Source organism: Homo sapiens, chromosome 1, assembly GCF_000001405.40.
Source record: "Homo sapiens chromosome 1, GRCh38.p14 Primary Assembly".
Classification (NCBI taxonomy): domain Eukaryota; kingdom Metazoa; phylum Chordata; class Mammalia; order Primates; family Hominidae; genus Homo; species Homo sapiens.
The window spans coordinates 3,244,508-3,266,354 of NC_000001.11; the positions used below are offsets into that span (position 1 = coordinate 3,244,508).

Consider the following 21,847-nt stretch of genomic DNA (forward strand, 5'->3'; position numbering starts at 1 on the left):
AAGAATATGGGGAAGAATTGGCTGCAGATTCAACAAAGCCTTTGCTGCACTCGTAGCTTCCAAAGAAGCATCGTTTTAAATAAGCAAAACCACGAGGCGAGAGAAAAAGGGTCCACGTGGCATTATCCACGGCTTTGCTGACTGGTGGTGGATAACGGCTGGTGGACAAACATTAGGTCTAACAGATCCAGAGGGAGAACCATGTGCAGAGAAACACACAGGCCCTGGGGAGGCACACACATAGTCACATGTGTGCCTGGGTGTGCACACTGCAGTCCAGACGGCCAGGAGGAGGAATGGCCTGGAAAGCAGCTCCGAAACCTAGAACCTGTTCAGCAGCCAGAACTCCTCTTCGACGGGATATGCATTGCCTGCACGCACACACAGACGTCCACAGACACAGCACGCTCACACGTGGTGGCTGATCTCCTATTTTTTGGGGGGGGGTTTCTAGTAAAATTAAAGTAACAGTCTCTCGCTTGGCATCTTTGCTTTAAAGCAAGATAAAATTTAGAGAGAGTCACATTTACACATCCCCACCCAGACAGCATCGCAGGGGGCGGGGTGGGGCGGGGTGCACCATGGGGGTTGCTGGCACAGAGGAGCCAGTGCTGAGTCAGTGCCTACCGAGTGCTGTTACAATTCTGTCAGAATTACAACTGGATTCCGTGACGCAGCATATGGGCTTGAGGGGTACTGGCAGCCTTGTGGTTAGGAAGCTGAGCTGAGTGTTCAAGTCATCAATACTCCATTTTTCCCCCAAAGTCAAAGGAAAGTGCTGTGCTAGTCCTGCCAAACTCCCAGTCTCTGAGCCGAGGCATTTGGGCAGAGCTGCCTACGAGGGACAGGGGACCCACCATCTGGGCAGAGCTATCCGCAAAGCACAGGGGGACCTGACCCTTCTCTCCAGGTTCAACCCCAGATACATTGATTTTGGAGAAAGCATGGCAATGGAGACTTTTGCTGGGCCCGCAGTGACCCGCTGAAGGGCCTCCGGAAACTGGGTGAACTGGTTCCCGTGTCCCTCCCCGTCGCTGGTGTGGCTGTGTCTGGCCTCCTGGGGTCCTTTTGTCCAAGGACAAGGTGTCGGCTCTCAGTCCCCGCCGTCCACAGGATGCCTGAGGTCTTCCTGCACCCACGTTTGACTGGAGCAAATGGAGCAAATTCCAGGGCTGGTCTTTTCCACTTTCCCTCTTTCTCCTTTCCTGCCTCTTTAAATGAGTTCACATTTTCTTAAAGGACATAGAGGAGCAGGAAACAGTTAGCAGCGCTGCTGTATTTCCGAGAACTGCAGTATTTTCACTTCCCACAAAAAGTGACCTGCAGTTAGTGCGAATCCCTCAAGTTCTCGAGGGAGCCTGAAATCACTGGGTTTTCCACCCCGATGCGTCCCTGGACCGTCTGACATTTTCAAGACGCCCTCCTTGGCTGCGCCTCTCCTGAATGCCTCATGGAGGTGGCCTGGCAGGAGGTTAGAAGGGGATCAGTTTATGCTGGGAGGGGTTGCTTGGTCTAGGAACAGGGGTCAAGTCAGAAGGTCAAAAGGTCAAGTCTAGATTTAAAGGGCCCGGGGGAGGCAAGTGCTGGCTGCTTCTGAACCAGAACGAACTAGGACAGAAGGAGGGTGAAGTGGGCGCCGCCTTCTGTGCCTCTGGGCCACGGTGGGTTTGCCTTTGTGTCTTATATGTGTGGCCATTAGGTCTCGCTCAGTGTGGCCCAAGGTCATTCTTGAGAGCGGCTCCCGGGGTGGGCATGAGATGCTGTCCAGCCAGGGGCCTACTTCCAAGTGCCCAGGGCAGCAGGCATCCCTCTGACGCAGGCCCTTGGAAAGCAGGTTGAGAACCTTGGGTCGGGCTGAGGAGTCTCAGGTTCCGCCATCCCACGGAATCAGAGCAGACCCGATGCACGAGACCCCCCACGGCACCGCCGCGACTGCAGGGAGCTCAGCGCAGGGTACCAGAGCCAGCATCGGGGGCGTTGGTGGGCGGTCCTGTCCAAGCAGGCCTCCTGACCCCAGCCCAGGGCTCCTCCCTGCCGCTGCCCTGCAGGCCCAGTCCGAGGGGCTGGGGGCTGCCTGGAGGAGGCACCCAAGTCCTCAGGCACAGCTCCACCAGAGGGGGAGGCTGCCACACAGCACTGCCTGGGCCATCAACTCATAGTTTTTTCAGCCTCCGCAATAAACACCGTCAGCGTCTGGAGGATTCGAGTGTTTGCCAAGGCCATGCTGGTGGGAGAATCAGATCCCTAACCCCAGGGCTCAGACTGGACCCGTTCAGTTACATTTCTAGGCACTCTCGGGGAGCCGGGGGGGTTGGGGCTGAGAGACTGAGAGACATGAGCTAAAATTCAAAGGCAAAGTCTTCAGACTCGGGGGCCAGGAAGACCAGGACAGACAGCCCTCGAGTGGGCGTCAGTCCAGACGGAGACCCCACCCTGCAAACAAATGCGCCACTTAGAGCTGTTGGTATAGGTGCGATGTGTGGATTGCTGCCGTAACTGTGCGCACCGCGGTGCTGTTTTCAGGATGAATTCAGTACAGTCCTTCCTTATAGGATGAGAACTCTGGTTTAGGGGTTTTGTAGTTTGGGTCACCCAAAGGCACACTTGGGAACATTAAAAACCTCATAGGGGAACATGACGGGGGTGGCTGTGTGACCTGTGGGTGGGCAACTCCTGTGTCTGGCTTCAGTTCATCCACCTCTGGGAGGATTACACTTCCTGTTCTTTATCTGCCTCAGTGAAATGTGACGAAGTTAATTAATTCAATCAGCAGCTTGGCATATGAGCTGCAGAAAAGGTGGTATTTTGTGAGGAAGCCACGGTTAGGAATTCTAAGTATCAGAGAGTGAGGTTTCTGAAGAGGCTGGATGCAGGATGACTCTACTCAGAATTTACAGGCGAGGGCGGCCGGGCCGAGGGTTGTATGGAGGCCTGGGATTCGAACTCAGGACTGTGGCGCGGGGCCTGGCTCCTGTGGGCGCTACAGAGGTGCCTCCCGTTAGCCCCGCCCCCACCCCAGGAGGGCGGAGCCACCGCCAGGCGCAGGGGACGGTCCTCCTCCGTCCTTCCTGCGCCCCTTCAGCTTCGCCCTGGACTCCCGCGTTCCCTCTGTCTCACACCCTGGTCTCTGCGCCTTCGTTCACTCCGCAGCCCTTGCGCCCGCGCAGCCCAGAGCTTTGGCGCTGGCCCGCGCTCGCTCTGGTGCGCTCGCCCTGGTGCCCTATGCGTGCCCTCGCCGTCCCTGCGCCCGTCCTGGTGCGCCCTGGGCGCGCGTCACCGGCGCTTCCCAAAAAGTCACATTGGCTGTGGGTCGGGCTGCGTCGCGCCTTTCCTGGCCGCGGTGCGGGGACCTCTGGGACCGCTCCCTCCAGCGGACTCTCTATTTAGTCTCTGTTTACTTAGAGGGAAAGCCCGGGGGCTCCTGGAGAGCAAACATCTGCGGGAGATAATCTAGCGAGTTGTCCATCCATCACTCCGGGCGCGCAGCTCCCTGGAGAGCCCGCCGGAGCCGGTAATAAAAAGGCCGGGCGAAGAGGCTTTGGGGACGAATCAAGAGCCGTGTTAAGGGCTCGCTGAAAATGGATGGAAGACATTATTAAGGCTCAATGGCCATCTTATCAAAATCCAATAGGATAGACATTTGGCAAAAGGCTTAAATTTATTCTTTGACTTTCTGGAGGGCTTGAATTTATCCGTTAACAAGAGTGTAGTCCACCCGGGAGATGCTATCAGCTGAAAGAATTTTGATTCAATCTCTGGCGATATGAAAGGGGAAACATGGCCCGGCAGCCTTTCCCTTTGTCCACTTTATCGTGTTTTCCTTCCCCCTCTTGAAAAGGAAGGACGTGTTAATACAGAACGGGAAAACACAAACAAAAGGAAGTGACCTTTTCTCTTATTTTTATTTTCTCTTCCCCTCCGCTTCTCTATCCCCCTCCTCCCAAAAATAAATACATCGTGAATTCGCATGGGAGGGCTAGGCCTGGGGACCTGGAAAAAAAACCCTTCAGAAGCTTCGGAAAAAACGCATCCACCCCAGCCAGCCCCTAGGGCGAGGGGCGGGAGTGCAGAGGCTTAGAGGAGGGTCAAAAATAAATCGAGCTAATAAAGTCATTCCGCCGGAAGAGGGGCCGGTGATGGGTCCATAAATCTCTCCCGGTTATTATTATTACGTACAAAATGCTACAGGTCATAAAAGTCGTCTGATAGCCCAGCCTTGCATTGTCCAAACAGGGTGATTGATTGATAATGACGATAATTTGTGAAATGATTATTTGGATGTTAGAACCATGGCCTGTCCCACTGGGCTGTTCTGTGGGCGTTTTCTATAGCCCGGCCCGGGCAAAATGCCTCTGGTAACGAGGAGTCCAGAGGTTTCCTGGGTCCCTCCCGTGGGGACTGGGGGCTAATGAAGGATGGCTGCTGAGCCCAGGAAGTTGGGAGCGAGACAGACAGGCAACTGCTAAGTGTCTTTTGTGCAGCAGTTACTGGAGGAGGCCACACACCCTGAGGTCTAAACGCAGCTGGGACCTCGCTGGGACTCCAGGCAGTTTGTGAGCAGGATATACCGAGTTCCTGGCCATGCCAGGCTTTTAGCCCAGCACAGCACCACGCAGCCGGAGACTGCTGTTCGGTGTCCAGTCCTGTGGCTCACTGTGTTCTGTTTGTATTGTTTTCCTCCTAAAGGAGGCTGGAGGGCTGGGGAGGAAGGGAGTAGGGGGCAGGGGTAGGGAGGGGAGGGGATGTGGTTGGAGAGATGGAGGGACCCTCAAACACAGAGCTGCAGAAGGAGGCGCTGCTATGCATGCATCGGGCTCAGCTGGTGGGTATGGGAACTAGAAGGCTCTCTGGGATGTACTGGATCTAGAAGGCTTTCTGCGGCCTCCCTAAGCTTGGTTTTGCTGAGGCCTGTGCCAGCGAGGTGAGTGAGGTTCAGACCGCCTTTTCCCGTTCCCTTACCAGCCAGCCAGCAACACAGATCCCGCCGGAGTGCCGTCACTAAACTGCAGTTTACCTACCCATGCACTTTATTACCAAAAAAGAAAAAAAAAAATACACACCAAAATCCCTAACCCTAAGAACCCTGCTATCCAAATTATTAATTTGCATGTGGGATCAGTTATGTCTTTATGAAATCCAAGTGTGTTTAGCTGCCCCGGAGACAGCCCCGAGTTGATTTTGATAATCTCAGCCTGAATAGACTTGCTTCGTCGCAGTAAGCCGCGGACAAAAGGCTGGACAGTGGCTGAAAGCCCTTTGACAACATGTCTCTCTTTCCATTGTCCCAGGGTTGCTGATAAAAGAATCGGGAGTCCATTAATTCAGTGAATGAACATATAGTAAAGTCAGTCCCCTCTTGAGAACAATAATGTTGAGGTCAGCTACGGTTGCCATGGAAACTAAGTATTCCTAAGAAGTTTGCATCCTTGATTTTGCTGAATCAAAGGCTGCAGGCAGAGAGGTGTAAGGCGGCCCAGGCAGCAGAAAGTCGGAAAGCACCGCCCACACCATCCCCTTCCCAAGGCAGCGCTGGGCCGTGGCCCTGGGGACCCTCATCCGCCCCTGGGGACCAGCCCAGGTGCCTGGCTTCCGCTTCCTCCGTCTTCTCTCCCCCCTCCCCCCACCCCACTCCCAGGATCCCGTTTTCACAACTGTTGCGGCTTGTCTGGGGAGGCCGCATTGCTCCTGAGGCTCCAGTCCGCAGGGCAGAAATCAGGCCTGAGGGAGGGGCCGCAGCCACAGCTCCCGTGGCCTCCAAGGTGGCAGCCGGCCCTGGGTGGACTCTGACCTCTCGCCACCTCGCCACACCTGAACTTGCCCCCTGGGGTAGGGCGGTCCCGCAGGGGCCCCTTCACAGGCTGATAAGGGTGATTAATGGCCCGTTAGCATGGCCCAAGGTGAGTTATGGGGCAGCTCCAGGCTGGGTGACAACTTTATCAATGTAACCCTTTTGCCGCCGCCCCCCCACCGCCATTCTAAATTGAGTTGATTCTACTTACCCCACCCCCACCTCACCTGAAGGATCCCTTAAATCAGCTGAAACCGTCAGATTCGGCTGGGAGAGGTGCAGCTAATTACCGTCCTATGCAGTGGTTTATTACCTGCTATGCTGGTGCCATGGTCTCTACCACCCTGCGTGTCTGAGGTGGCTTCCTTTCTGCTCTGCAAGGCCCCAGGGCCTGAGGGTGCAGGGGGCTCAGGGCAGCCTGGGAAAGGCATTGTTCACACACATCCAGCCCAAGTCCAAGAGCACATGGGGGGACGTGAGAGTTTAACTTGTCCTTTTTCTGTGTCAGTGAAAGAAGAGCCTGGGCTTCTCTCTGACCCTGAAGCGTCCTGGGAAGCCTGCGAGGGTACAGCCTGGGGGAAAGGCCCTGCAGAAGTGGGGCTGGAGTGGATGGAAACTGGGAGGCAGGGCAGGGGGCTGTGTCCCCCATCTCGGGGTCCCTGGCTCAGCATGAGAACAGGTGGCTCTGGGGACCCTGCTGTCATCAGAAATGACTTCTATTGTGCTGAGGCTTTAGGCTGAAACTTAAATTCCAGTAGGAGACGAAACATCACAAATTTTAGAAGGACACACTCAGACGCTGCCTTAACCCCAAGTTAAACAGAGGGGTCTTCTTACCTTGGAGACCCAGAGGAGCCGGACCAAGCCAGGGCCCCTTCCCCACCCACCCCTGCCCTTTGGACCTGGTTCTGCCCGGGGCAGCGCGGCCCTCAGCCTTGAGCTCCAGGCCTGGCCGTTTGGTTTCCTCTTTTGCAATGGGAGATAATGAGTCTCACGTGCTGCGTGGTTCAGGGGTGAGGTGGGGTGAGGGCGCAGCCGTGAGGCACAGCTCTGGGTACCGAGGGTGAGGTGGGGTGAGAGCGGAGCAGTCAGGCACAGCTCTGGGCACCCGGCGTGAGAACCCACGTCCAGGGCTTGGCTGCTCTTTACTAGGTGTGGGAACGAGGGACCAGTCAGGGTGGTGGGAACCCAGCGACCAGGGTAGGGGGCCCCTGGGCAGACACCTGCCTCTGAAGTGGTATCATGGCACCTGCAGGGGTCAGGGTGCACAGGTGCTGCCCTGGAACCAGCACCCCTTCTCCACAACCGAACCGACGCCACAGGGTGCCCAGGGCAGCCCCTCCGTTGTGGCCACCCAAGCAACTCCCACAGCAGGGTGCAAGGGGAGGCCGTGCAGACAGGACACCTCTCGCAGGCGCCTAGTTCTGCAGCAGGATTTATTGGCTACATTACCAGCTTTATAGGAGCCAGATGGTGGCGTCAATAAACCCTGTCCATAATCTTCAGGTGGGTGCAATATTGAGTTAATTAAATTGTGCTGCTCTATTAGGAGAGAAAAATAGATCAGCTCTGAGCCCTGGTTAGCCTCTTCTGCTTTAAACACGAACACACACCTCAGCAAAGTCTGTGGTAATTGGTTTGGGCGGGGAGTTCTCTCTTCCACACAGCCACGCCGCCTCCCTCCTAAGATACCTGCCAAACCTCGTTACCACGATTCTCATCAGCTGGGCTTATGCATGCTAGTGAGCCGGGTGGCGGGGTTCCCCTCCAGTGTAAAAGAGGGCAACTCTCCTGGGTGCTGGGACTCCTTGGGACCCTTCCCGAGGCCTGGCTCCTCGCTTCTGTGACATCATGCTGTGCCCCCCTCTTCCTGAGCCCTATCTCCCTGTAGCTAGGTGCCCAATGGCCTGAGCATACCTCCCTCTCGTGGTGCAGGTTGAGTGCTCCCGGCTCCGAGGGCCAGCTCTGAGGTCCTGCATGCCCAGCGGTGTCCCTGTGCGGGCATTGGGGGGCTGGGCTCTGCAGCTGCTCCTCTGCATAACGGTGTCCAGGCCGGGCCCCAGGTGGGCCCTGAATCCCTCAAATAGAGGGGGGATCTTCCCTGGCTTCTTGGGGCCCAGTCCTGCTCTAGAGCCAGAAGAAGGCTCTGGGGAGAGTGAGGGCCTCATGTGCCCAGTGGGGGCCGCGGTGGAGGTCCCTAAGGCCTATCTGGCTGGTGGAAATTTTCCGCAGGAGGTGGGCCCCTCGTGGAAGGTGGTATCTCCCCACCTTATCTAAGAAGCCACCTGCTGTTAGAGAAAGCGCCTGCCCTGGGGGTGGGGCTGGTGGGCAGCAGGGTGGGGCAGCCAGGTCCCAGGAGAAGGTTGTAGATCCACTAGCATCCCGGGCTCGTGTTCCATGAGACTACTTCTCTGGTGGGGGCACTGGCTTCCTGGGGCCGACTGTGATCCCACAGCTGCGTGGACCGTGGGGGTCCCAGCTGGGACCACTGAGCAGCAGTGCCGAGCCTCCCCCTCCTGCCTCACTACCACAGCAGGTTCCAGGTTGGCCTTGAGACAGTGTGTGTTCAGCCTTGTACTGCGGGGTGGAGGCGGGAAGGAGGGTCATGCAGGAAAGAAGGAGAAAGGCAGGGGTGTGTGCTCGTGGAGATGTGGCATTCCCCCTCCCTGGCTCCGACACCGGGCTGTCCTCTACCAAACACCAGCCGCGTGTGCAGGAACCCCTCGAGCCTGCGCGCTGCTGCTGCGCTTGTCACCCTCGCTTACAGAATGCTCGCCAGGCGCCACGTGCTCTGCAGCCTCCACGATTCTCCTGCATGGATCCCCACACTAGCCATCCAGGTAGTATCACCCCCACCAGGCCACGTCGGAAAATAAGGCACCACACTCTTTTTTTTAATTTAATTTAATTTAATTATTATTATTATTATACTTTAAGTTTTAGGGTACATGTGCACAATGTACAGGTTAGTTACATATGTATACATGTGCCATGCTGGTGTGCTGTACCCAATAACTCGTCATTTAGCATTAGGTATATCTCCTAATGCTATCCCTCCCCCCCTCCCCCCACCCCACAACAGTCCCCAGAGTGTGATGTTCCCCTTCCTGTGTCCATGTGTTTTTATTGTTCAATTCCCACCTATGAGTGAGAACATGTGGTGTTTGGTTTTTTGTCCTTGCGATAGTTTATTGAGAATGATGATTTCCAATTTCATCCATGTCCCTACAAAGGACATGAACTCATCATTTTTTATGGCTGCATAGTATTCCATGGTGTATATGTGCCACATTTTCTTAATCCAGTCTATCATTGTTGGACATTTGGGTTGGTTCCAAGTCTTTGCTATTGTGAACAGTGCTGCAATAAACATACGTGTGCATGTGTCTTTATGGTAGCATGATTTATAGTCCTTTGGGTATATACCCAGTAATGGGATGGCTGGGTCAAATGGTATTTCTAGTTCTAGATCCCTGAGGAATTGCCACACTGACTTCCACAATGGTTGAACTAGTTTACAGTCCCACCAACAGTGTAAAAGTGTTCCTATTTCTCCACATCCTCTCCAGCACCTGTTGTTTCCTGACTTTTTAATGATTGCCATTCTGACTGGTGTGAGATGGTATCTCATTGTGGTTTTGATTTGTATTTCTCTGATGGCTGGTGATGGTGCGCATTTTTTCATGTGTTTTTTGGCTGCATAAATGTCTTCTTTTGAGAAGTGTCTGTTCATGTCCTTCACCCACTTTTTGATGGGGTTGTTTTTTTTCTTGTAAATTTGTTTGAGTTCATTGTAGATTTTGGATATTAGCCCTTTGTCAAATGAGTAGGTTGCGAAAATTTTCTCCCATTTTGTAAGTTGCCTGTTCACTCTGATGGTAGTTTCTTTTGCTGTGCAGAAGCTCTTTAGTTTAATTAGATCCCATTTGTCAATTTTGGCTTTTGTTGCACAAAACAAAAGGGATGCCCTCTCTCACCACTCCTATTCAACATAGTGTTGGAAGTTCTGGCCAGGGCAGTTAGGCAGGAGAAGGAAATAAAGGGTATTCAATTAGGAAAAGAGGAAGTCAAATTGTCCCTGTTTGCAGATGACATGATTGTATATCTAGAAAACCCCATTGTCTCAGCCCAAAATCTCCTTAAGCTGATAAGCAACTTCAGCAAAGTCTCAGGATACAAAATCAATGTACAAAAATCACAAGCATTCTTATATACCAATAACAGACAGAGAGCCAAATCATGAGTGAATTCCCATTCACAATTGCTTCAAAGAGAATAAAGTACCTAGGAATCCAACTTACAAGGGACATGAAGGACCTCTTCAAGGAGAACTACAAACCACTGCTCAATGAAATAAAAGAGGATACAAAGAAATGGAAGAACATTCCATGCTCATGGATAGGAAGAATCAATATCGTGAAAATGGCCATACTGCCCAAGGTAATTTATAGATTCAATGCCATCCCCATCAAGCTACCAATGACTTTCTTCACAGAATTGGAAAAAACTACTTTAAAGTTCATATGGAACCAAAAAAGAGCCCGCATCTCCAAGTCAATCCTAAGCCAAAAGAACAAAGCTGGAGGCATCATGCTACCTGACTTCAAACTATACCACAAGGCTACAGTAACCAAAACAGCATGGTACTGGAACCAAAACAGAGATATAGATCGATGGAACAGAACAGAGCCCTCAGAAATAACGCCGCATGTCTACAACTATCTGATCTTTGACAAACCTGAGAAAAACAAGCAATGGGGAAAGGATTCCCTATTTAATAAATGGTGCTGGGAAAACTGGCTAGCCATATGTAGAAAGCTGAAACTGGATCCCTTCCTTACACCTTATACAAAAATTAATTCAAGATGGATTAAAGACTTAAACGTTAGACCTAAAACCATAAAAACCCTAGAAGAAAACCTAGGCATTACCATTCAGGACATAGGCATGGGCAAGGACTTCATGTCTAAAACACCACAAGCAATGGCAACAAAAGCCACCACACTCTTAAATGCAGGAGACGGTTTCCAAATGCAGCCTGCAGACCCCACAGTGGGGTCCTGAGGGTCGCGTGCAGCACACAGCCTCCCAGACGGCTCTCACCACAAAGCCAGGGCTGCCCCCGACACTTCAGGAGCCCAGCCCATGATGGCACTGAGCTGTCAACACAGTTGGGCTCAGAGAGAGGCAAGACAGTGGGGCGGAGTCCTGGGAGGAGGTGTGGCATTCATCTGTGGCCACAGTGGCACGGGGAGGGGGCGGGAGACACAAGCCATCCCCTAACTCTGTGGCTCGAAACAGCACACGGTGCCCCTCCTTATCGCATTCAACTTAGCTGCTGTGGGCAAGCAGCAGGGCTTGGTCCACCCTGGCGGTTGGGCCCAGTTTGTCCTGACTGCCTGCCCCCCTTGGATGCCAGAGCTATCTGGGAGTTGTGAAATATTCCTGGTGGCAGCAGAAGAAGACAGCAGACACACATAGTCCTCATCCTCCTTAGGCCTTGGCTCAGAATGAACCCATTGTCACTTGTGCCCAAAGCCAATCCCGTGGCCGCACCGACACCCGAAGCCAACCCCGTGGCCGCACTGACACCCGAAGCCAACCCCGTGGCCGCACCGACACCTGAAGCCAATCCCGTGGCCACACCAACAGTACAGGGTGGAACGAGCTCCGCCTCTCAGGGGAGGGACAGGATTACGTGGCAGAGAGCAGGTATGTGGCACAGTGACAGCGCCTCACCTGGGACTGGGACTGGAGAACAGCTCAGGCCACCCCTTGCTTTTGCTGATGCTGAGTAACTGGTAGTGAGGTTAACCAGGAGGGACGAGGAGAGGAGACATCCGGATAAGAGAAGATAAACTGGCCTGACCCAACCAGTCTGAGAAGGCTGCATGCTCCATGCCTCCAACTCCATGGCACTCCAGACAAAGCAACACTGTAGAAGGACCAAAATCATCAGGGGCTGCTGCGGGCTGGGGGTCGGAATGAGTGGGCAGGGCATGGGCTCAGGGCAGGGGCAGGGCTCTGTGTGGCACTCCCAAGGTGGGTCCACGCCCCATTCTACATTCATGCGTAACCATGACCCCTCAGGTCAGCTGTGGACTTCGTTAATAATAACGGGCTGATACTCGTTCATCTATTGTAACAAGAGTATCACACCAACGTAGGTGTTCATCACGGGGGAATTGCGGGGAGACAGGGAGAGAATGAGTCAAGGGGAACAATGTACTGTCCACCTGTTTTCCTATGCACCTGTCATTGCTCTAAAAAATAAAGTCTTCGGTCGGGCGTGGTGGCTCATGCCTGTAATCCCAGCACTTTGGGAGGCCGAGGCAGGCGGATCATGAGGTCAGGAGATCAAGACCATCCTGGCTAACACGGTGAAACCCCATCTCTACTAAAAATACAAAAATTAGCCGGGCATGGTGGCGGGCGCCTGTAGTCCCAGCTACTAGGGAGGCTGAGGCAGGAGAATGGCGTGAACCCAGGAGGCAGAGCTTGCAGTGAGCCGAGATGGCACCACTGCACTCCAGCCTGGGCGACAGAGTGCGACTCCATCTCAAAATAAATAAATAAATAAATAAAGTCTTCATTAAAAAAGAGTTTTCTGGAAGTGGCACATCGTATGCAAACACATGCACATGCATAAGGACACACGTGTCTGAAAAGGCTGATTGGAAATAGTTTTGAATGATAATATGCCTTATTGCTGAGATAATGGATGGTTTTTTTAAATGAACACCGATGGGGGTGTTTTACTTGTTAATACGTTAAGTGACGCACGTAGGGCTGTGCTGGCCTGCAGCAAACACTCAGTAAGTGGCGAAGGTAGTCAATGAACACTGGTAGTACCTGGCAGGCCGCGGAGGGCTCTTCGAGTTGGTTGGATTCTAAAATCCTTGTGGTCCAGGGTTGTGGATCATTCCTTCATGTGTGTGGGTGCCACTGGCACAGCTGACCCCAGTTTCTGGCTCTCTGCCTTCCAGGAACGAGGTAGGATGAGACTCTCTGCCCACCTGGGGTTGGGTGGAGCATCAGGCCGGTGAGTATGAGGGAGGGCACTGCTGCTCTAGGCCGGGCACCAGCTGCTGGTGTGGTCCCTCCAGAGTTCTCTGCTCTCCAACACTGCAACCAGAGAGTCCCAGAGAGCTCCTCAAGTTTTTACCACAAGCAGAGCTGCCCTGCCAAGTCACACTGGGCTTAGGAAAAAAATAAAAGTCACATGTTTATTTAGGAAAAATAAGACTTTGTTACTTGGTTAAGACAATGAGTTTTAGAAGCTGTTTGTTACATTGGCATAAACCTTGCTCACCCTGACTGATCTGCTTAGTGAGTTCCTTGTGTCTGATTCAATTCTACTTTTCAAAACATCCCTCATTTATTCATTCACTCACTCATTCATTCAACAAATACGCCTGCCTTGGGGTCTTGCAGGCTGGCGTTTGAAGACACTTCTCCATTTAATAGTGCTGCCAGGATACAACCAACCACACATCGGAGCCCGCACAGTCGGAGGGCTGATTCACTGTGATGCCATTTTATATAAGAAACTTGAGCATCCTTGGATTTGGGTACCTACAGTGGGAGGAGGTGAGTGAGAACCAGTGTCCCCACCACAGGGACAGCTGTGTCTAGGAAGCACCTACTGTGGGTGGGGAGCTGTCCTGGGTGCTGGAGACATGAGGTTGGATTCCACCAACCTCACCAGACTCCTCCTGGAGTCTGAATTCTTCTGGGACCTCAGTTCCCTGCAACAAGGACCTCTTAGGCCTTTGCTTTTGGTGCCCCAGTTCCCTGGGGACCTCCAGCTGTGAGGATCCAAATCAGATCATCACAGACCTTGGAGGGGTGGGGAAGGCAAGTATCTACCGTCCTGCTGCACTGAGATGCCCGTGTCCTCCTGCGGTGGGCTTGGCTGCATCCCTGTACTTTGCAGATTCTGAGGAGTCCCTTCTCAGGGCTATTCCTCTTCTCATCTGTTATCTATGGGGGGGATATTGTGAGGATAACAAATTGAGTTTGGCCAGAAAGAGTGGGATTCTTAATGTAACAGATTCCGTGTGAGTGTACCGTTTTCTTATTGAGTAATATTTCCCTCTTTGAATAATACTCTCTTTCAGCGTTGGCCTCTTCTTATGCTAACGGGATTCATTACTCCACCTGACACCCACTTCCATCAGCCAGGGCTGCATTGGGAAACTGTTTCTTCTTGCCCAGTTAACAAGATGTTTCTCCAGTATAGTGTTGATAAATTAAGTAATAAAAAGCAAGACGTATTATTTTATGTTGGAACCTCGCCTCTGTTATTTCTGAGCAACGGCCAAGACTCAGATTATTAGCCACAGAAATGTTTGCATTGCCTGGGATGGAAAATTATCACATAAAAAGAGTCTGGTCTGGTGTTCATCACAGATCAGCTGAGAGGAAGCGGAGATATTTGGAGAAAAAAGCATCCACTGTAGCCGGCTCACGCACACCGGGTTAGAGGGGAAGGGGTGAGCGCGCGGCGGCTTCTGCCGGGGAACAGGCTCCCTGCTCGAGCCAGGCCAGGGCTTTCTTCTTGCCTCCCAAACCTGAGGCTCTGGGTTACCAAGGCCCCAAAAGGGCAGATAATTATCGGAAGAGAATCTGAAGCCTGGGCACCCCAGAGAGCTGCAAAAATAAAATGAGGAGGAGGACTTTTGAATAGATTTCCTCCCTTTGTATTTCTGTTTTGGACGAGAAATGCAGAGGCGGGAGCAAAAGGGAACTGGCAAGGTGGAGAAAGCAGCAAATTAGGCCAGAAGGAAGGCCTGGATTGGCGGGCACCCTGGGTCGGTGGGGAGCTGCAGGGATGAGCAGTACCTCCGTCCCGGCCCTTCTGCCCACACACAGCCCTTCAGTAGTTCACACCGGCCCAAGGGGAGGCTCGAGTCACCCTCAGCTTACCCACGAGGAGGGTCCAGGCAGGCGCCGGAAGCAGAAGATCCCAGGGATTCCCTCCAGGGGCTGCAGCTGGGGCTGGGGAGACATCGCCTGGGCCTCGTTCACCATGATGACTGTGCCTGGGCGTGGCAGCACCCTCCGTGTGCAAAGTCAGGCCATATTGGGCTCAGGCCTGGGTGGTAGAGGCCACCCCTTGCAGCTCGCCAAGGGATGATCTTAGGGCACAACTGGTGAGTTCTGGGGGCCACACAGCAGCCCTGTGAGGCAGCTGCCTTTCTTCCCCTCCACATAATCATGAGAAAACTGCATTCAAGCAGGTAAACTCACCACCCAAGGCCACATAGGCAGTAAGCGGCAAATCAGGCCCCCCCAAGAAAGCCCTGAAACCCAGACCAACTAGTGAACAGGAGGCTGGGGCAAGAGGGGACCCAGTGAAGTGTTTTGCAGCGTAGCCTGCAGCCCCGCATGCTCTGGGCTGTCCAGGTTTCTGAGGTTGGAAAGAGTGTGGTCCCCACAACCAGCCCCAAGCAAGGGACTTCTGCGTGAGCCACCTCCGTGGGCCTGGGATGCGCCTCTCCACTGGGCCTGGGATATGCCTCCCCTCTCCATGGTCAGGTCTGGTCCCAGCTGTCCCTCCCTCGTTAGTGCAGCAGGTGCCGTCTGTGTGTCCCTCATCCAGGCTTCCTTACAGGGCACCCAGGATCTTCCATTACTAAGCTGTGGCCCTCAAACTCTCCCCATAGTATCCTCCAAGCCCCCTGCACTTCTTTGGGCCCCTGGTTTTCCAGCATCACACACCCTTCCCACCTCCCCATACAACTCCAGGGAAGACTTGCATCTCCCCTGCGGTGTACCCCTCAGAGACCACCTTCTGAAACCCCACTCTCAAAAAGAAACTCTTTGCTTTTCAAACAGCTTTAGTTGTGTGAACCCAAGCAACTACCCACACCCTGGCCTAGCAGGGAGCACTCCTGATTGTCTGGATTCCTGTGGTTCTGGGGGGCCAGGCCCCAAGGACAGCTCCACAGGCCTTTGGGGTTTTACTCAGCTCTAACCCCACAGGCTGCCTCTCTGCTAAGCCTCTTCTGAGCTGCTTCCGAGCCCCCATGAGGGTCTGTCCACAAGCACTTTCTGTGGGCCTGGGAGACTTGGTGGTGAAAAGAAATTCCTGGAAGGCAAAGGGCTCTGTAAGAAAACTCCTTTATCCTACTGACACCTTAATTTCTTCGTCTGTAAAGTGGAAATAATAACTTTTGCCTCAGAGTTATGGTGGTGACTATACAAGTTGTGGTGTGTAAAGCAAACTTAAAATAGCACCTGGCACATGCTTGAGACTCAGAGTGAGATCAAGATTTGTGTGATGATGCTGGTGATGAGGTTGATAATGAAGATGAAGATGATGGTGACCATGGTGGTAGTGATTATGTTAATGATGAAGGAAATGATGATCATAGCTTTGATTATGATGGTGTTGATGATGGTGATGGTGGTGGGGTGATGACGGTGATGGTGATGGTGGTGATGATGAGGAAGATGATGATTTAGGTGATGAGGGAGATGATGATGATGGCAATGATAGTGATGATGATACCATTGATGATGACGATGATGATGATGAGCCTCAAGGTCCCATCTAGACACAGTCATTACATGGGAGAACCAAAGAGCCCAGGAAAGGGCAGACATCAAGGGACCAGAAGACCCCAGAAGCTTCAGTTCTGGCTCCATCATCAACCAGCGTGACCTGGGACAAGTCACTTAACCTCTCAGGGCCTTGTTTTCTGCCTTGGCAACAGAGGGTAGACACTCTGTTCCCCACTCAAGTTCCTGGGCTAGGGAGGACCCCGGGAGATAAGGCATGGAACAGTGCTCAGGAGAGTCCTTCACAAACATGAGGCATTAACAAGAAAAAAAAAAAAAAACAGGAAGAGGCAGAAAGAAAACTCTTGAATGTCCCTCACGCCCTGGTCCTCTTAGGTGACCTCTCACACAGAGAAGCGGGCCTTGGGGAGTGAATAAGAAATACAGGACTTCCTGCGAGATAGCAAGTGAATTGTGAGCCGCGAATTACTTTTTTCCTTTGAAAAATGAGGTAGTCGGGTCAAAATATTTTTGCATTTCAAACACTTGAGTTCCTTTGTCCTTGGGGCGAGATGACTTGGTTTCCATGCAGCCTCACAATGCATGGAAACATCTTTTAGCTGCCAGACGGGGCTTCTGATAAGCCGCCAATTCATAGTGTGGGTTTGGAGAGCTGGAGACGGGGTGAGAAAGCTGAGGCCTTTGCAAAGTCTATTTACACAGTGGCGAGAGTCCCTTTCACCCTCTCCGGCAAACAGGCCCTGGAGCACAGGCATTGAACCCAGGGGGCCGGGTAGATGACCTGTACACACGGCATTGCCCACCAGCCCACGCACACACCAGACCCACCTAACTGGGTTCCTGGGGGAGACCTGCCCAGATACCCCTGGAGCCAGACCCCCAGGGACCTCCTCCACTCCTCCTGTGTCAGGGCAGCCTGCCTCCTGAAAGAACTGGCGTTCAGCCTGCCCCGCCCTCCGTCCTGGTCCCCACCCTCCATCCTGGCTCCGTTCAGAAACGTGCCCCAGGGACCAGGTTTGCTCAGTTGACAGGTTGTCTGGCCTGCAGCCTGTGCAGCTCCTGGTCCCATGGGCCATGAGGCAATAGGAAGAGAAAGGAAAGAGCTGTCATCCTACCCCCCACCCTGTCTCCTTTCCTTTTCTAAGCCACCTGCTCTGCTGCCCTTGGAGCTGAATGGAAGCTTCCAGTACAGGTACTTTCAGAGGGAAGGACTGAAAAATCAGTCGGCTTGTTTATTTGACTAATGCGCCCTCAGGCACTTGTGCTTTTAGCAAGTAGTACCCATTCTACAGGTGAAGAAATTGGGCACAGAGAGGTTCGGTAATCTGCCGAAGATCACACAGCAGTGAGGGGCATTGAACCCAGGTGCTCTGGCTCTGTGTGCTAAGCACAGACATGAGGCTCCTGTTTGATCCATTAACGTGCATTTGTGACCCAGTTGCGTCCCTGGACTCTGAAGACCAAGGGCTCCCTCCTTCCCCCAGGGACTCCACATTATTCTGGTAACATGGGAATCTGAGGGACAGCCCCACACTTGTGAGTCACCAGGAGTCCATCTGAAGGCAAAGCCAGCCAGCGGGAAAAATTCAACCAGACCGAGCAGGAGTCTTGCCCTGGGGCCCCCAAGGAACCGGCTTCATTCAAGAGCCTGGGATCCACAGTGTCACCCTTGGCGGGAGGCGTGGTTGGCCAGAGCCCCTCCCTCTGTGTCCCCCATCTCCTCCTGGTTGCAGGCTATTCCTGGCCACTCCTCTCCTCAAAACCAGATGATGAAGTTGGAGGGATGGGGTCCTTGCTGAGGGGTTTTGGGGAAGGGGTGCAGCTTGAAAAGAACCCACAGAGAAAAATCCCACAGGACACACATGTGCTCTTTAGTGGGGGAGGCAGTTCAGTGACGATGACAGCAGTAATGACAACACACAGAAAACATGAGGGTGTGCGAGCATGGGGTCCCAGGGACGACACCTGCGGGGTGCTGCCACGATGGTGCTGGGAGGTGCGGGGTGCAGTAATGACAACACACAGACAACACGAGGGTGTGCGCGCATGGGGTCCCAGGGAGGACACCTGCGGTGTGCTGCCGCGACGGTGCTGGGAGGTGCAGGTGACAGCCAAGCACTGGATCCTTGAGAGTGAGTGATTGTGCCTCCGGCAGGGCCATAGAGAGGGTCTGTTTCAGATGGAGGTGCCCCGGCGGATGAGGCATCGCAGGGGCACCAGCTCCTCTGGGCATGCAGCCTCTGGTTGGTGATGGCTCAGTGTGTACCCCAGGGGCTCCACAGACCCTGCAGCCTGCCTGGCGGCCCCTCCCACCCCGCACGGGTCTCAGGCACCAGCAGCCTCTTCCATTTCTGTCCTCAGTTGCTCTGAGTGCCCGGGGATGGGAAAGCCTGGCCTGAGAACACGGTGAGCTGAGGCTGAGGGCCGGGACACTGTGTCTAAGGCTCTCCCCGCCCCGCCCGGCTTTGTCAAAGGCCTCACCCCCAGGTGCAGAAATATGAGGGGTAGACCAGAATTCTGGGGCCATCCCAAGTAGACAGAGCGTGCCGCTCTCCCGTGGGGCCCCCCGCAGGCCTGCTCTAGATGAGACCACCTGTTGGTGGTGGGAACCCTGGGGGGCCTAACCCTGTCTAGTGGTCCCTGGGCATCTGTCCTGGTGGCCACTCACTGGGATCGCACTCACAGAGATCCCAGAAGAGCCCAGCCTGAATGCAGCCAACAGTGGCACAGGCTGCCAGAGTCCCTGAGCTCTTCCATCCCATGGGGAACTTTCCCCAAGGCACACGGCCCATATGTCCGGGCCACAGCTCTCTGCTGGCTCCTGCCCATGCTGCCCTGCAGATGCCAGACCTGACTGGGCTCCTCCAGGCCCTCACAGCCCTGACCACAACTCCAGGGAGGCTGCCTGGACGGCAAGATGGATACCAAAGGAGGTGTCTCATCTAATAGTTGGAACGTGAAGCCAGGAGAAGCCTTTGCCACCCATTAGAAAAGCGACCCCTGGGCAGGTGGCGCAGGTGGGGGTATGGCGGCACCATTCACTCACTCCTTTGTTTCTGTGGTTGCTGGGTCCTTCCTTCAGTCGACGCCTCTTGGAGCCTCCTGTACGGGCACTCGCCCTCTCTGTGACCCCCACTTCATCCGAGGGTTCCAGGGCTCAGGGAGGGGCAGGACTTTGCCCAAAGCTACTGTGCAGCTGAGCAGACTCCTGGCCATCTTCCACAAGCTTAGGGAGCATAGGTTTCCAAGGCCAAGGCTGTGAACAGTCAGGCCCTTCCCCAGAGCCCACCATCCCCTGGAAGAAGCGAATAAAAAGCAGAGAAATAGCAATGACACGAGCAGTTACAATAACAGGTGCTATGGAGTCCGAAAATGGGGCGCTGTGTGACCTGGGGCCTCTCTGCGGAGGGGCCTTAAGGGAGTCCATGAGGCTGAGCCGGAGCAGGATATGGAGCAGAGCTGAGCCTTCCAGGTGGAGGGAGCAGCATATCCAAGGACCCCGGGCCAGAAGGGAGGCAGGGGAGGGGTGTGGAGGGGCATCCGAGGACCCTGGGCCAGGAGGGGAGGAAAGGGGAGAGGCATAGAGGAGCATCCGAGGACCCTAGGCCAGGAGGAGAGGAAAGGGGAGAGGCATAGAGGAGCATCCGAGGACCCTAGGCCAGGAGGAGAGGAAAGGGGAGAGGCGCAGAGGGGCATCTGAGAACCCCGGGCCAGGAGGGAGGCAGGGGAGGGGCATGGAGGGACATCTGAGGACCCCGGGCCAGGAGGAGCGGAAAGGGGAGGGGTGTAGATGGGCACCCGAGGACCCCGGGCCAGGAGGGGAGGAAAGGGGAGGGGCGTGGAGGGGCATCTGAGGACCCCAGGCCAGGAGGGAGGCAGGGGAGGGGCGTGGAGGGGGCTTGCAGGTCCCATGTGCGTGAGTCCCTGGGGTGCTGACAGGAGGGGGCTGCAGACAGCCAAGGGCAGAGGGGCTTGGACAAGGATGGAACAGAAGATAACAAACAGACATATTTGGGACATCTCAGAAGGAGAAGGATCAGGCTATGGAAATAGGGTCCAAGGACAGTGGGGATGGGCTCATTGGCAGGGATGGGAAGCCCAGAAGCCCAGGGCAAGGGACTGGGCAGTGGAGATGGAAATGGAGGCGGTGGATATCAGAGGAGGGGTCAAGCAGACAGATGCAGATTTCTGAGCACAGAGAAACCTGAGCTGAGCCACTGAGTCCCCCAGCCTCTCTCTGACCCAGGGCCCAGGAGGGAGGGGAGACCAGCAGGGAGGCGGGAGGCAGCCCTGGAATCCCTGGTGCCACCTATTGAGGCCGAGGCGAGCGGGCTGTTAGGACTGGGACTGAGGGTGGTGGACAGGGATGAGACAGGAGCAGGGCTCTGGGTCCGGAGAAATTGCAACCATGGCTTGACAACAGCTTGTCCCTTACGGTTGGGACAGAAGCCTCAGGGTGCAGGGGGAGCGGACAGGAATGCAGGTGTGGGTGGGAAGGGGCTGAAAACGGACAGGAGCTAGAGGGCTAAGCTGCTAGGCACAGCTCATGGGGAGGCCTGACGGGCCTGAGACTGATGATGTGAAGGGCCTAGTAGGGGCTGAGGTCCTGTCCCAGTAGGGGGTTGGGGAGGGACTTGGAGGCTTCCCGGTGGGAAGGTGAGTTGCCCTGCCTGCTTTTCGCTGCCAGGAGAAGGCAGATGCAGGGATGTGTGACTCAAGGGACCCATCCGAGGTTCATGGGAAGAGGAGAAGGGGTCGTCCTGGTGGGAGAGGGAGAAGCAGACCGCAGAGGCCCCTCTTGGGTCTGGGAGCTCCTAAAATTGCAGCCAAGGCCAGCCCTCTTGCCCCGGGGCTGCCTGGGTTTGTCCTGGGAAGGTGAGGATGGGAGCTGACTGTGGTTAATCAGGAGGTCACAGTTAGCCCCAGCCAGACAGGCATTATCCAGCTGGCACCTCACGCTCTGTCCTCACCGCCCAGACCCTAGGAGCCCCCAGACCCTGCCTCAGTGGGTCGTGCCCAGGTCCTTCGCTCTCTATGATCCCTTTACGGTCGTGCAGTGCTCCCCAGGGCTCCGCACTGCTCCCCAGGGTTCCTTGGTGCGTGTCTCATAAAGCCCAGGAGGGCGAGGCCAGGCCCAGCCCCCAACTCAAGGGCCGCCCTCCAGCCTAGCGACGCCACCTGGCCCCTCTTTCCATTAAGTCTCCGTCGTCTTGAGTCCATCCAGGGCGGTGTGCGGCCGGTCGCTTAGTCAGCAAGAACCCTGTGAGCTGCAGTCATCATAAATGCATATTTAATAACTATTTTCTTCCTGGGGAAAATGTGCTGCTTCAGAAGTTCAGAAATGGGCTTCGCTCTTCAGCTGGTAATGAGAAGTTAATAAAAGTGGGATTTTGTGCAACGCTGGCCCTCTGACATCTTAATCTTTATTAAAGAGACGTAAACTTCCACGGATCGGGCGGGCCTGCCTGGCACAGCCGGACGCCAGGAGAGCCGGGCAGGGGTGGCCCAAGGCCGGCCGAGCACCCGTAATCC

The 21,847-nt window shown here is 54.5% G+C and overlaps 1 protein-coding gene across 2 annotated transcripts in view; it reads left to right on the plus strand.

Moving 5' to 3' along the window:
• The window catches only part of PRDM16 (PR/SET domain 16), a 369,419-nt gene that overhangs the window by 175,305 nt on the left and 172,267 nt on the right, over window positions 1-21,847 (plus strand). The window lies entirely within an intron of this gene.